General features: G+C 44.0%; 1 annotated feature.

The window, feature by feature from the left end:
• Positions 985 to 1916: an enhancer, noted in NCBI's record as "H3K27ac hESC enhancer chr16:23740522-23741453 (GRCh37/hg19 assembly coordinates)". NCBI's record gives its function as "activates a minimal SCP1, AML or CMV promoter by ChIP-STARR-seq in naive and primed H9 embryonic stem cells {active_cell/tissue: H9 hESC(naive and primed)}" and the evidence as "EXISTENCE:reporter gene assay evidence [ECO:0000049][PMID:30033119]".

Genomic DNA, 13941 nt, shown 5'->3' on the forward strand with positions numbered 1-13941 from the left:
GCATTATGTTTCTTGATACAGATGCAGGGGGCATGAACACTTTATTGACTGATTGATTTAAAGACAGTTGCATTCTGCCGTCCAGACTGGAGTGCAGTGGCGCGATCTTGTCTTACTGCAACCTTCACCTCCCCGGTTCAAACGATCCTCCCATCTCAGCCTCCCAAGTCCAGTAGCTGGGACTACAGGCGCATGCCACCCTGTCCAGACATCATTAACAATTAACGTATACACACTTACAATTAAATACATTATATTAAAGACAAAAGTAATAAATACTCAAAATATATTTTCTAATTCTTTTACTGTTGCTTCTGAGCACACTTGGGATTCTTTCTATCTATGGTATCTGTATGGTGGAAATACTATTACTATGTAATGGTGGGTTACACAGAATCATATCCCAACTCCATTCCAGTGACATCACATTACCATTTTGGAATCAGTTATGGTGCAAGTATTTCTGCCGTGGAAGTCAGCAGATGCTACAAGTTGGGGCTTGATTTATATTTTGTTGACCCCCTAAACTTTTTTTTTTTTTTTTTTTTTGAGACAGGGTCTCACTCTGTCTCCCAGGCTGGAGTGCAGTGGCGCTATCTTGGCTCACTACAACCTCCGCCTCCTGGGTTCAAGCGATTCTCCTGCCTCAGCCTCCTGAGTAGCTGGAATTACAGGCATGCACCATTACGCCTGGCTAATTTTTGTATTTTCAGTAGAGACGGGGTTTCACCATGTTGGCCAGGCTGGTCTTGAATTCTTGACCTCAGGTGATCCTCCCGCCTCGGCCTCCCAAAGTGCTGGGATTACAGGCATGAGCCACCGCACCCGGCCGAAAATATTTTTTAGAAGTGTTGTGTCTGTTAATGACAAAAAATCAAGGAAATATTCTCCTTGTGTTTGAAATCTATTATCTGATTCAACAAAGAATTTCCTTTTGTCATTGAAAAATGAGTAAAGTTCCAAAAAAATCTTCTTTTCATTTTTCTCTTCCTAGTTGTTTATGTAAACAAAAATATCAACAAATATGCATGTCAGAGCTACACTTGCAGAGCCAGTTGTTAAAAGTCTACTAGTACATCATAAGTGATACTCAAATAAAAGGTTAAAAACCAATGAAGAAGCGGATACATGGATTTATGCCCTTATGGTAAAAATATGAGGGATTTCATACACAATGCTTTTGTTTAATTTTCTTAATAAAATATACAAACATTGAAAAGAAAACCTGGCTGGGTGTAGTGGATCATGCCTGTAATCCCAGCACTTTGGGAGGCTGAGGCAGGTGGACTGCTTGAGCCCAGGCATTCGAGACCAGCCTGGGCAACACAGTGAGACCTCCACTCTACAAAAAATCAAACCATGGTTCTACATGTCTGTGGTCTCACCTACTCGGGAGGCTAAGGCGGGAGGATTGCTTGAGCCCAGGCAGTCGAGGCTGCAGTGAGCTGTGATCACACCACTGCACACCAACTTGGGTGACAGAGATCTTGCCGCAAAAGAAAAGAAAAAGAAAACCTAATTACTAAAACAAGCAAAACCTTGCATCTCAGCCTCAAGCTTGCTGAGCAACCACCCCATTGAGCAGAATCTCTGCAGAGTCAAATAAGTTGCCTTGCGTAGTAGACACAGTGGGATCCCACCCCCATTTCCCAGCTGCAGTGAGTGTTGGCTGTTTACAGCCCATAGCCGTCTCCCTTCCTCAGAACATTGCCCTGGGATGATGCAAGCTGCCTCTCCTGGAAGCTACCCAATCCTGTGGTCCTCAGAAAAGCCCCGCCCCTGTTCTCCAGGAAGAACCTTTCTGCACTATAGCCTATGCCCTACAAACCCTCACTGATCAGACCAAGGCTAGACTTTTCCTGAGACCACATCTTTGCTCCATCTCTCTCCCTGCCTCACCCTGTTTCCCTTTTCTCCCTTATATTTGTTTCCAGAAGAAATAAATGAATAAACCCTATGCATCGGAAGCCCTATCTCAGGCTTTGCTTCCAGAGGAATCAAGCTAAAATACCCTGGTTTGGCGGGATGTGGTGCCTCATGCCTGTAATCCCAGCACTTTGGGAGGCCAAGGTGGATGGATCACTTGAGGTCAGGAGTTTGAGACTAGCCTGGCCAACATGGCGAAACCCCATCTCTATTAAAAATACAAAAATTAGGCTGGGTGCAGTGACTCATGCCTGTAATCCCAGCACTTTGAGAGGCCGAGGCGGGTGGATCACGAGGTCAGAGGTTCGACACCAGCCTGGGCAACATGGAGAAACCCCGTCTCTACTAAAAATACAGAAATTAGCTGGGTGTGGTGGCGTGTGCCTGTAATCCCAGTTACTCAGGAGGCTGAGGTAGGAGAATTGCTTGAACTCAGGAGGCAGAGGTTGCAGTGAGCCAAATCGTGCCATTGCACTCCAGCCTGGGCGACAAGAGCAAGATTCTGTCTCAAAAAAAAAAAAAAATTAGCTTGGCATGGTGGCGGGCACCTGTAATCCCAGCTACTCAGGAGGCTGAGGCGGGACAATTGCTTGAACCCAGGAGGTGGAGATTGCAGTGAGCTGAGATCGCACCACTGTGCTTGAGCCTGGGCAACAGAGCGAGACTCCATCTCAAAAAATAAAAGTAAAGATAAAATAAAATAAAATAAAAAAAATGTCCTGGATGCCCAGGCTTTGAGAAGAAAACCTAGGAGCATCAAACAACTTCCTGAGCTTGAGCTTGTACTTGAGAATAAGCTTTTATCTCAAGTGGGCTAAATTTCTGCAAATCATTTCTCTTCTGGCTAATGAGGGCTGGGAGTTGTTTCTGGTGCACAGCCTGGGAACTTATTACAAATTCCTGGTCCCACCCCAGATCTATTGAGTCAGGAACCAGCCATTTGTGCCTTAGCAAATCCTCCAGGCCATTCTGATGCATCCTAGAGTTGGAGAACTACCAGTCTAAGTGTGATAAAATATTATTCTCTGAGTGGGGAGATGCAACACCCAGGGAACAGACTTATCCCTCCACCTCTCCCCTAGAACAAGGGGGTTAACTTCTTGATGGAGGATTTCTCCCAGTTCACAGGTGGGGAAATGAGGACAATTGGCATCTTGGAAAAACCAAAAGCAAGAAAGCTTTCCCTCTTTTCTTTTTTTAAAAATAATATTTATTACCCTACATGGTTTCTCCTCTCTCTCTCTCTCTTTTTTTTTTTTTTTTTTTGAGACAGTCTCACTCTGTCACCCAGGCTGGAGTGCAGTGGTATGTATCTTGGCTCACTGCAACCTCTGCCTCTTGGGTTCAAGTGATTCTCCCACCTCAGCCTCCCCGGTAGCTGGGATTACAGGTACAAACCACCACATCCAGTTAATTTTTGTATTTTTAGTAGAGACAGGGTTTCACTATGTTGGCCAGGTTGGTCTTTAACTCCTGACCTCAAGTGATCTGCCCGCCTCCACCTCCCAAAGTGCTGGGATTACAGGCATGAGCCACTATGCCTGGCTTTTTTTTTTTTTCCTTCTATCTCTCCATCTATACACTTTTCCTTAGCTGACAATAGCAACATTATTTTAGACTTTGAGATCTTGAATCTTGCTCTTGGGTTGGGAAATGCTACTTTAAGAAAGAATCAGTGCTTTGATTTTAACTAGCTGCAATGGTCATCTTTGGTTCTGATATTTGCTTGTATTTTCTAAATTTGGGGGTGTGTAACTGGTCCTGAGATATCCTTGTGAGTTCTGTTGACTTCTAGAATTTTGGAAAGGTGAGACATGCTGAACTGAATAACCCAATTCTACAGGCCTCGAAGGACTCACATGATCCACCGACCTATCTGAATGAGCTCTTTCAGTCTATCAAGATGGGCCAGGTGCAGTGTCTCATGTCTGTAATCCCAGCACTTTGGGAAGTCAAGGTGGGAGGATCGCTTGAGCCCAGGAGTTCAAGACCAGCCTGGGCAACAAAGCAAGATCTCATCTCTGCTAAAAAAAAAAAAAAAAGACTGAGCATGGAGGTACACACCTGTGGTCCCAGCTACTCAGGAGGTTGAGGTGGGAGGATTGCTTGAGCTGGGGAGGTTAAGACTGAAGTGAGGACTATGATCACCACTGCACTCCAGCCTGGGCAACAGAGTGAGACCCTGTTTCAAAAAAAAAAAAAAAATGAGATGGCGAAGAATGACAGAGGGTAGAGAAGAATAATATAACAGGCGAAGTGTGGTGGCTCATGCCTGTAATCCCAGCACTTTGGGAGGCCGAGGGGGTGGATCACCTGAGGTCAGGAGGTTGAGACCAGCCTGGCCAATATGGCAAAACCCTGTCGCTACTAAAAATACAAAAATTAGCCGGGTATGGTGGTGCATGCCTGTAATCCCAGGTACTTGAGAGGCTGAGGTGGGAGAATCGTTTGAACCCAGGAGATGGAGGCTGCAGTGAGCTGAAATTGTGCCACTGCACTCCAGCCTAGATGACAAAGTGAGACACCGTCTCAAAAAAAAGAAAAATGCCCCAAAACCCAAAACAAAAACAATAACAGTAACAATAATAACAGTAAAGATACAGGGCGTTTCCTATGGGCCAGGCACTGTACAAAGAGCCTTGCATACATAGTGTCATATATTTCTCACAACAATCCTACAAGGTAACTACTACTATTATCCCCATTTCATCTATGACCAAATTGAGTCACAGAAAAGGTTCGGAGAAGTTTAGAGTTAACTTTCCCTAGACACACAACTTGTAAGCTAAATTATAGAAACAGGTGCAGGGTGCGGTGGCTTATGCCTGTAATCCCAGCACTTGGGAGGCTGAGGCAGGCAGATCACGAGGTCAGGAGATCAAAACCATCCTGGCCAACACGGTGAAACCCCGTCTCTACTAAAAATACTAAAATTAGCTGGGTGTGGTGTCGTGCGCCTGTAATCCCAGCTACTTGGGAGGCTGAGGCAGGAGAATCACTTGAACCTGGGAGGCGGAGATTGAAGTGAGCCAAGATAGGGCATCTGCACTCCAGCCTGGTGACAGGGCCAAGACTCCATCTCAAACAAACAAACAAACAAGCAAACAAACAAAAAAATAAATTATAGAACCAGGCAGGCCAGTCTCAAAAACAACAACAACAACAACAACAACAACAACAACAACAACAACAACAAAACCAGGGCCAGGCATGGTAGCTCACACCTGTAATCCCAGCACTTTGGGAGCCCGAGGGGGAGGATTGCCTGAGCCCAGTAGTTCAAGACCAGCCTAGGCGACATGGTGAGACCCTGTGTCTAAGAAGAAAAATAAATAAATAAATAAAATAAAGAGCCAGACTTTGAACCTTGGTGATCTGACTTCAAATCTGAAGTTCTTAACCTCTGTGCTATATTGCATTTCAGAGAAAATCCTTTGGACATGTTTTTGTTTTGTTTTGTTTTCTTTTCTTTTCATTTCCTTAGGATGGAATGATTTGGCTGTGAGTTTTAGATTTCGGTGGAAGCACGAAACTGATGATAATAGTGGTAACATTTGCAGGGTGGTGGCTTATTTCGGATCATGGAACTGTCTACTTAGGCTCTGGGATTATCCTGGGTGCATTGCCTAATCCTGCAGACTAGATCCCAGGTGTGGGTGGATCCCCTCATAGAACATTATTTGAAATGGGAACTGGATTGGAGGTGAGTTCTTGGCTGTGTGTCATAGTGTGGCTGAAACTGAAGCAATGAGCTCACTCACTTTAGAAGTCTTTGGAAGCAACAATAAAGATGGCCGGGCACAGTAGCTCACACCTGTAATCCCAGCACTTTGGGAGGCCGAGGCAGGCAGATCACCTGAGGTCAGGAGTTCAAGACCAGCCTGGCCAACATGGGGAAACCCCGTCACTACCAAAAATACAAAAATTAGCCCGGCGTGGTGGTGGGCACCTGTAATCCCAGCTACTTGGGAGTCTGAGTTAGGAGACTGGCGTGAACCTGGGAGGCGGAGGTTGCATTGAGCCAAGATTGTGCCACTGCACTTCAGCCTGGCCGACAGAGTGAGACTCCATCTGAAAACGAAACAAAACAAAACAAAACAAAAAAACCCAGTAAAGAGACACTCGTAAGGTCCTCAAGGGTCTGCCCGTGGGTTTTGTCAGAACTCACAGTAGCTCTCCAGACTACAGTCAGAATAGTTCTATTCTGGCAATTCTCCCTTGCAACTCTGGCTCTCTGGCTCTCTGGCTGACAAGAGGTTTGGCTTTTGTTTTGTTTGTTTTGAGACAGGGTCTTGTTCTGTCGCCCAGGCTGGAGCGCAGTGGCGCTGTCTTGGCTCACTGCAATCTCTGCCTCCTGGATTCAGGCGATTCTCTTGCCTCATCCCCCCACATAGCTGAGATTACAGGCCCATGCCATCCCGCCTTGCTAATTTTTGTATTTTTAGTGGAGACGGGGTTTCGCCATGTTGGCTAGGCTGGTCTTGAACCCCTGACCTCAAGTGATCCACCTGCCTTGGCCTCCCAAAGTGCTGAGATTACAGGCGTGAGCCACCGTGCTCAGCCTTGCTTTGTTTTTTTGAGACAGGGTCTCGCTTTGTCCCACAGGCTGGAGTGCAGTGGGATGATCACACCTCACTCCAGCCTAGACCTCCTGGGCTCAAACCATACTCCCGCCTCAGCCTCCCGAGTAGCTGAGACTATAGGTGCACACCACCACGGCCGGCTAATTTTCGTATGTTTTTTTAGTAGAGACAGGTCTTGCTATGTTGCCCAGGCTGATCTTGAACTCCTGGGCTCAAGCAATCCTCCCACCTCGGCCTCCCAAAGTGCTGGGATTACAGGCATCAGCCACCATGCCTGGCTAGAGGCTTAGTGTTAAGTCTTTTATTTACCTGGAGAAAGTGTGAAGAGGAATGTTGGCCTCTAGGGAAGACCCCTTTCCATCCGTGGCCTCCTGAGGGGCCATTCAAGGTGTTAGGGAAAGTTTGGACTCTGGCTTGATGGTTTCGTTTTTGTTTTTTCTCTTTCACAGCTTTGAATGGTTCCTCTCTTCTCTCTCGAGGCTGGTGTGGCAGAAAGATCTGGGGCTGTTTCCTGCTATGTGTGTGTGTGTGTGCGTGTGTGTGTGTGTGTGGTTCAGAAGGGTTTGGTTCTAAGTAGATCTTTGGAAAATCTTTCCTCATTAAATTGGTGACATTAACCCAGAGGAGCCAATTAAAGGCCTAATGCAAAACCTACTTCCAGCGGGGGGCAGTAGAGTGTAGCAGTTAAACATGTGGGCTTCGCTTCTGTATTTGGGTTTGAAACTGGCTTCAACCAGTAGTTGCCACGCATTTGTGATTACACGCCTCTTTCAGTGAGAAATTTTTGAACCTGCACCCTCAAATATATATATATATATATATATATATATATATATATATATATATATATATATATATATATAATTATTTATAAGTTGTACGCATAATTCTGGTCCTATTTGTTATATCATAAAACATAATAAAATTGAAATTAAGAATGAAAAAATAAAATGAACTCTTAAAATGCTTTATCGAGGCATAATTGACAATGAATTGCACATATAAAAGAGCATGATTTGAGAAGTTTTGATATATATATACACATACACACACACACCTATGAAACCATGACACAATCAAGATAGTGAACACACCCATCAGACCCAAAGGTTTTCTTTGCCTCTCTGTAACTACTCCTCACCTGTTTCTGCTCTTCTATCCCTGAGTAACCACCAATCCGCTTTCTGTCACTATAAATTAGTTTGCATTTTGTAGAGTTTTGTATAAATGGCATTGTACACTATGGATTATTTTCTTGTCTGGCTTCTTTCACTCGGCATAATTATTTTGAGTTTCAAGCTAATTATGGATGAAATTAAGGATGAAATAATGATGGAGTTAATTATTAAAAATACTGTTTTATTTTGTTTGTTTGTTAATGGTAGAAAATATTTGTGCTTTCAAATTGTAGATTTTTTTTTTTTTTCAATTTGAGATACAGTCTTGCCCTGTTGCCCAGGCTGGTGTGATCATGGCTCACTGCAGCCTCGACCTCCCAGGCTCAAGTGAATCCTCCCACCTCAGCCTCCCAAGTAGCTGGGACAACAGGCAAGTTCCACCAAGCTCCGCTAATTTTTAAAGTTTTTTTTTTTTTTTTTTATACAGATGGAGGTCTTGCTATGTTGCCCACACTGGTCTCAAACTCCTGGACCCAAGTGATCCTTCCACCTCAGCCTCCCAAAGTCCTGGGATTACAGACATGAGCCACCACACCCAGCATATAGAGATTTGTCTTTATGTCCTGGATACTAGTTTTTTTCTTTTACATTAGATTGAATTTTTTTAATTTAATTTTTTTTTGATGGAGTCTTGTTCTGTTGCCAGGCTGGAGTGCAGTGGCACAATCTCAGCTCATTGCAACCTCTGCCTCCCAGGTTCAAGTGATTCTCCTGCCTCAGCCTCCCGAGTAGCTGGGATTACAGGCACCCACCACCACACCCAGTTAATTTTTGTATTTTTAGTAGAGACGGGGTTTCACCATGTTGGCCAGGCTGGTCTCGATCTCCTGACCTTGTGATTCACCCGCCTCTACCTCCTAAAGTGCTGGGATTACAGGCGTGAGCCACCGCGCCTGGCCTAATTTAATTTCTGAGTAAGTAATACATTCACATGGTTTCAAACCTAACCATATAAAAACATACAAAGTGTGAACTCTCTCTAACTGTTGCTCCCTATTCATCTAAATGCACCATGCCCTCCCACATTCCTAAATAAGTTTCTTAGGCATCTTCTGGATTTATTTATGCAAATATATACACATATGTATGTATATATAGATATGTACTTTCTTGGTATTCTCTGGTTTTTTTGTTTTTTATTTTTTTGAGATGGAGTCTCACTGTGTCACCCAGGCTGCAGTGCAGTGGTGCGATCTCGGGTAACTGTAGCCTTTGCCTCCCATGCTCAAGTGATTCTCCTGCCTCAGCCTCCCGAGTAGCTGGGATTACAAGTGTGCACCACCACACCCAGCTAATTTTTGTATTTTTAGTAGAGACAGGGTTTCACCATGTTGTCCAGGCTGGTCGTGAACTCCTGACCTCAAGTGATCCACCTGCCCTGGCCTCCCAAAGTGCTGGGAATACAGGCATGAGCCACTGCTCCTGGCCACATTCTGTTGTATTTTTAACAGAAAAGATAGCATATTATTCACAATCATGCATATTGTTCTACAACTAGCTTTTTCATGTGACATATCTTGGAGATCTTCCTATATGAGTTTGTAGAAAGGTTTCTCCCTTCCTTCTTTCTTGCCTTCCTCTCCTTCCTTCCTTCCTTTCTTCCTTCCATCCTTCCTTCCCTCCTTCCATCCTTCCTTCCTTCCTTCCCTCCTTCCTTCCCTCCTTCCTTCCTTCCTTCCTTCCTTCCTTCCTTCCTTCCTTCCTTCCTTCCTTCCTTCCTTCCTTCCCTCCTTCCCTCCCTCCCTCTCTCCCTCCCTCCCTCCATCCCTCCCTCCCTCCCTCCCTCCCTCCCTTCCTTCCTTCCTTCTTTCCTTCTTCTCTCTCCTTCCCTCTTTCTTACAGCTTCATTTTATTTCATGGTACTGTACTTTATTTAACCTGATGGACACTTGGATGGTTTCTGTTTCCTTTTTTTTCTTTTTTTTGGCTAGGTAAAAAACCAATTTTGCATCAGATAACCTTGTGCACATATCATTTTACAAACATGCGAGTGTTTCTGTAGGGTTAATTCTTAGAAGTTGGATTGCTGAGTCTAGGAGTCCATATAATATATTTGGGATTTTAATGGATAGTATCCACATGACCTCTGCAGGAGTTATACCAATGAACACAACCCTCTACAGGGAGAAACTGAAATGAGAGTGCCTAGGTCCTGAGAGCCTCACCACCAGTATATTTTTCCAACTTCAGAATTCTTTTTTCTATTCTCAGAAATTAAAAATGGTATCTCCGTGTAATTTTAATTTGTGTTTCTCTTAAGGCTGAAGTCAAATTAGATGCTTAGTTTTATGTATGTATGTATGTATGTATGTATGTATGTATATATGTATGTATGTATGTATGAATTTGTTTACTTATTTATTTTTGAGACAGTCTTGCTCTATCACCCAGGCTGGAGTGCGTTAGTGCAATCTCGGCTCACTGCTTCTGGTTTCAAGTGATTCTCGTGCCTCAGCCTCCTGAGTAGTTGGGATTATAGGCGTGTGCCACCACATCCAGCTAATTTTTTGTATTTTTAGTAGAGACAGGGTTTTTCTATGTTGGCCAGGCTGGTCTTGAACTCCTGGACTCCGCTGATTGGACCAGGCGTGGACACTTGATCCCAGCTAAGCCAAGTAGATCTATTCTCTTTAAAATCTGAATTGATGGCGAGCGGGTTTGGGAACCCTGGAGTGGTAAGATACTGTAGGATCTGGGTCAGAGTTGATGCTGTGGAACCCAAAGTCAAGGGCAACTCTGTTTTTTTTTAGGAGATGGGATCTCACTGTTGCCCAGTCTGTTCTCAAACTCCTAGCCTTGAGGGATTCTCCTGCCTCGGCTTCCCAAAGTACTGGGCTCACAGGCATGAACCACTGCACCCAGGCACTAAGTCAAGGGCAAGTCCAAGTTACGGAGGAGACGGACTGTGGGAGCCTTTTAGAGGACACTGACTTACAGAGAAAAAAGAGAAATACCCAGAAAGAGAGAAGCAGAGAGGGAGATGATCTGCACCCAAAGACAGACAGACAGAGAGAGAGAGAACAAGAGAGAGCCAGAGTGCCAGGTAGCTGGTTAGCTGAACTTCTTGCTCTAGGTTTCCATGAAATTCCTCTGATCCTTATACTAAAATACGTTCTTTATAATGTATTTCATTTCCTTCAACAAATCCCCAGCATTTGGATGAGAAATATATAGAATGCATGCATATACATTGCTGGTGGAAGTGTAAAATCATATAAATACTTTGGAAAACAGTTGGGCATTATCTCTTCAAGTTGAATATAGCCACCCTCCATATCTGTGGGTTCTGTATCTGTGGTTTCAACCAACCTTGGATTGAAAATATTCGGGAGAAAAACTCATAAAAAATAACAATACAACAATAAAAAATAATACCAAGAGGGCAGGCGTGGTGGCTCATACCTGTAATCCCAGCACTTTGGGAGGCCAAGGTGGGTGGATCACTTGAGGTCAGGAGTTCGAAACGAGCCTGGCCAACATGGTGAAACCCCGTCTCTACTAAAAATACAAAAATTATCTGGGCATGGTGGCTAATGCTTGTAATTCCAGTTACTTGAGAGGCTGAGGCTGGAGAATCGCTTGAACCTGGGAGGGGAGGCCTCAGTAAGCCAAGATCATGCCACTACACTCAAGTGACAGAGCGAGACTCTGTCTTTAAAAAACAAACAAACAAGCAGTCAACATAAGAATGTGCTTTTTTTTTTTTTTTTTTTTTTTTGACAGTCACCCTGTGACACTCACTCTGTCACCCAGGCTGGAGTGCAGTGATGTGAACATAGCTCACTGTAACCTTGAACTCCTGGGCTCAAGGACTCAAGCAATCCTTTCAGCTCAGCCTCCCTAGTCACTGGAACTACAGGTACACCACCATGCCTGGTCATTTTTAGATTTTTTTGTATAGATGGGGTCTCACTATGTTGCCTGGGCTGTTCTTGAACTCCTTGAACTTAAGGGATCTTCCTGCTTTGGCCTCCCAAAGTGCTGGGATTACAAGTGTGAGCCACCATGCTTGGTCTAAAATATGCACTTCTAAGGAATACATATAAAATGAACTAAACATAAATAGGAAAGCAAGAGAATGATGAATATGGGATTCAGAACGATGGCTCCCTACTTGGGGAAACCATGTGGTTAGAGGTTGGCTACTGCTAAGTTCCTAGCTTTTGTTTTTAGTGAGTGGTTTTGCGGATGCTGAATACCTTATTAAAAACTGCTAACTAACAACATAAAGGCAGGCCATACACGAAACACTGATAAGAGTATGCCTTGAGCCAAGGGTATTCATTATCATGAATAATCCAATTCTACGAACCTGATGTTCAAACAGAAAAAGAAATATAAAGGAGAGTGACTTTTAACAATCTTTAATAAATTTTATTACTGGTTAAAGGTACAAAAATGTTGACATGTGTTAACTCTTATATCCTCTTCTCCAATTTTATATTTTATGATGGTTACTACTAAAAAGCAATGCAGGCTGAGAGAAGTGGCTCACCCCTGTAATCCCAGCGCTTTGGGAGGCTAAGGTGGGCGGATCACTTAAGGTCAAGAGTTAGAGACCAGCCTGGCCAACATGGTGAAACCCCATCTCTACTGAAAATACAAAAACTAGTGGGGCATGGTGGTGCACCTGTAGTCCTGGCTACTCAGGAGGCTGAGGCAGGAGAATTGTTTGAACCCAGGAGATGGAGGTTGCAGTGAGTTGAGATCATGCCATTGCACTCCAGCCTGGGCAACAGAGCAAGACTCTGTCTCACAAAAAAAAAAAAAAAAAAAAAAAAAGAAAAAAAAACCCAACGCAGAGTGGTATCAAACAATAGCCATAGTAACAGCTTTCGTTTTTTAGTGCATGCTGTGTACCAGATGCTGTGATAAGCCAATCACAGGCATTTATGTCATTTACTCCTGAACACATTCTTAGGTACCAGCTACTATTTTTCCCCTCCATTTACAATACCGTTAAGGAAACTAAAGTTCAGAGAGATTTAGTGAATTGCCTTAGGCTACATGACATATGGGCCAACACCCCATTAATTACACTTTTTTTTTTTTGAGACAATCTTGCTCTGTTGCCCAGGTTGGGGTGTAGTGGCATGATCTTGGCTCACTGCAACCTCTGCCTCCTGGGTTTAAGCGAATCTCGTGCTTCAGCCTCCCAGATAGCTGGGATTACAGGTGCACACCACCACGCCCAGCTAATTTTTGTATTTTTAGTAGAGACGAGGTTTCACCATGTTGGCCAGGCTGGTCTTGAACTCCTGATCTCAAGTGATCCGCCTGCCTCAGCTTCCCAAAGTGTTGGGATTACAGGCGTGAGCCACCACTCCCAGCCAATTACAGACAATTAATATAACAATTATGTGCAACATGCAAACGTCTTTTTTTTCTTTCTTTCTTTCTTTTGTTTTTGTGAGATGGAGTCTTGCTCTCTTGCCAGGCTGGAGTGCAGTGGTAGGAATCTCCACTTGCTGCAACCTCCACCTCCCAGGTTCAAGTGATTCTCCTGCCTCAGCCTCCCCAGTACTGGTATTACAGGCGTGTGCCACCATCCCGGCAGCATTGTGTTTTTCATACAGATGGGGTTTCACCATGTTGGCCAGGCTGGTCTCGAACTCCTGACCTCAGGTGATCCATCCACCTTGACCTCCCAAAATGCTGGGATTACAGGTGTGAGCCACCACGCTTGGCTGGAAACATCTTTTTTATCCTCAAATACCATTTAGAATCAATACAACTCAATTTGTAATCCTATTCTGCCCTCCCCCACCAAAAAAAAAAAAGATAAATTCCATCCCTATCTCTGTAGAACAAAAATGTACCTGTCGTACCTGGGGTGATCCCTTATTGATATCAAAGGTTTTTAGGTGTCTTTTCAGTTTCCCTGTCAAGGCACATTGGGAAATTCATGCCTGAATCTCTAGTAACATCTGTCTTGCCAGGAGTCAGCCAAGTGTGCCTGCCAAACCCTGCCTGCTGCCTGTTTTTGTGTGGTCTGTGGGCTAAGATAGTTTTTGCATTTTTTAATGATCAGAAAAAACCAAAAGGAGAATGGTATTTTGTGACATGTGAGAATTATATGAAATTCAGATTTCAGGGTCTGTAAATAAAGTTGTGTTGGAACTCTTATTCCTTTGTCTATTGTCTATGCTACTTTTGCCCTGCAGAGCAGAGCTGAGTAGATGTAATACAGACCGTACAGCCTGCAAAATTAAAATATTTACTATCTGTCCCTTTGCAGAAAATGTTGGCTGATC

The sequence above is a fragment of the Homo sapiens genome, chromosome 16 (genome assembly GCF_000001405.40).
Source record: "Homo sapiens chromosome 16, GRCh38.p14 Primary Assembly".
Lineage (NCBI taxonomy): Eukaryota > Metazoa > Chordata > Mammalia > Primates > Hominidae > Homo > Homo sapiens.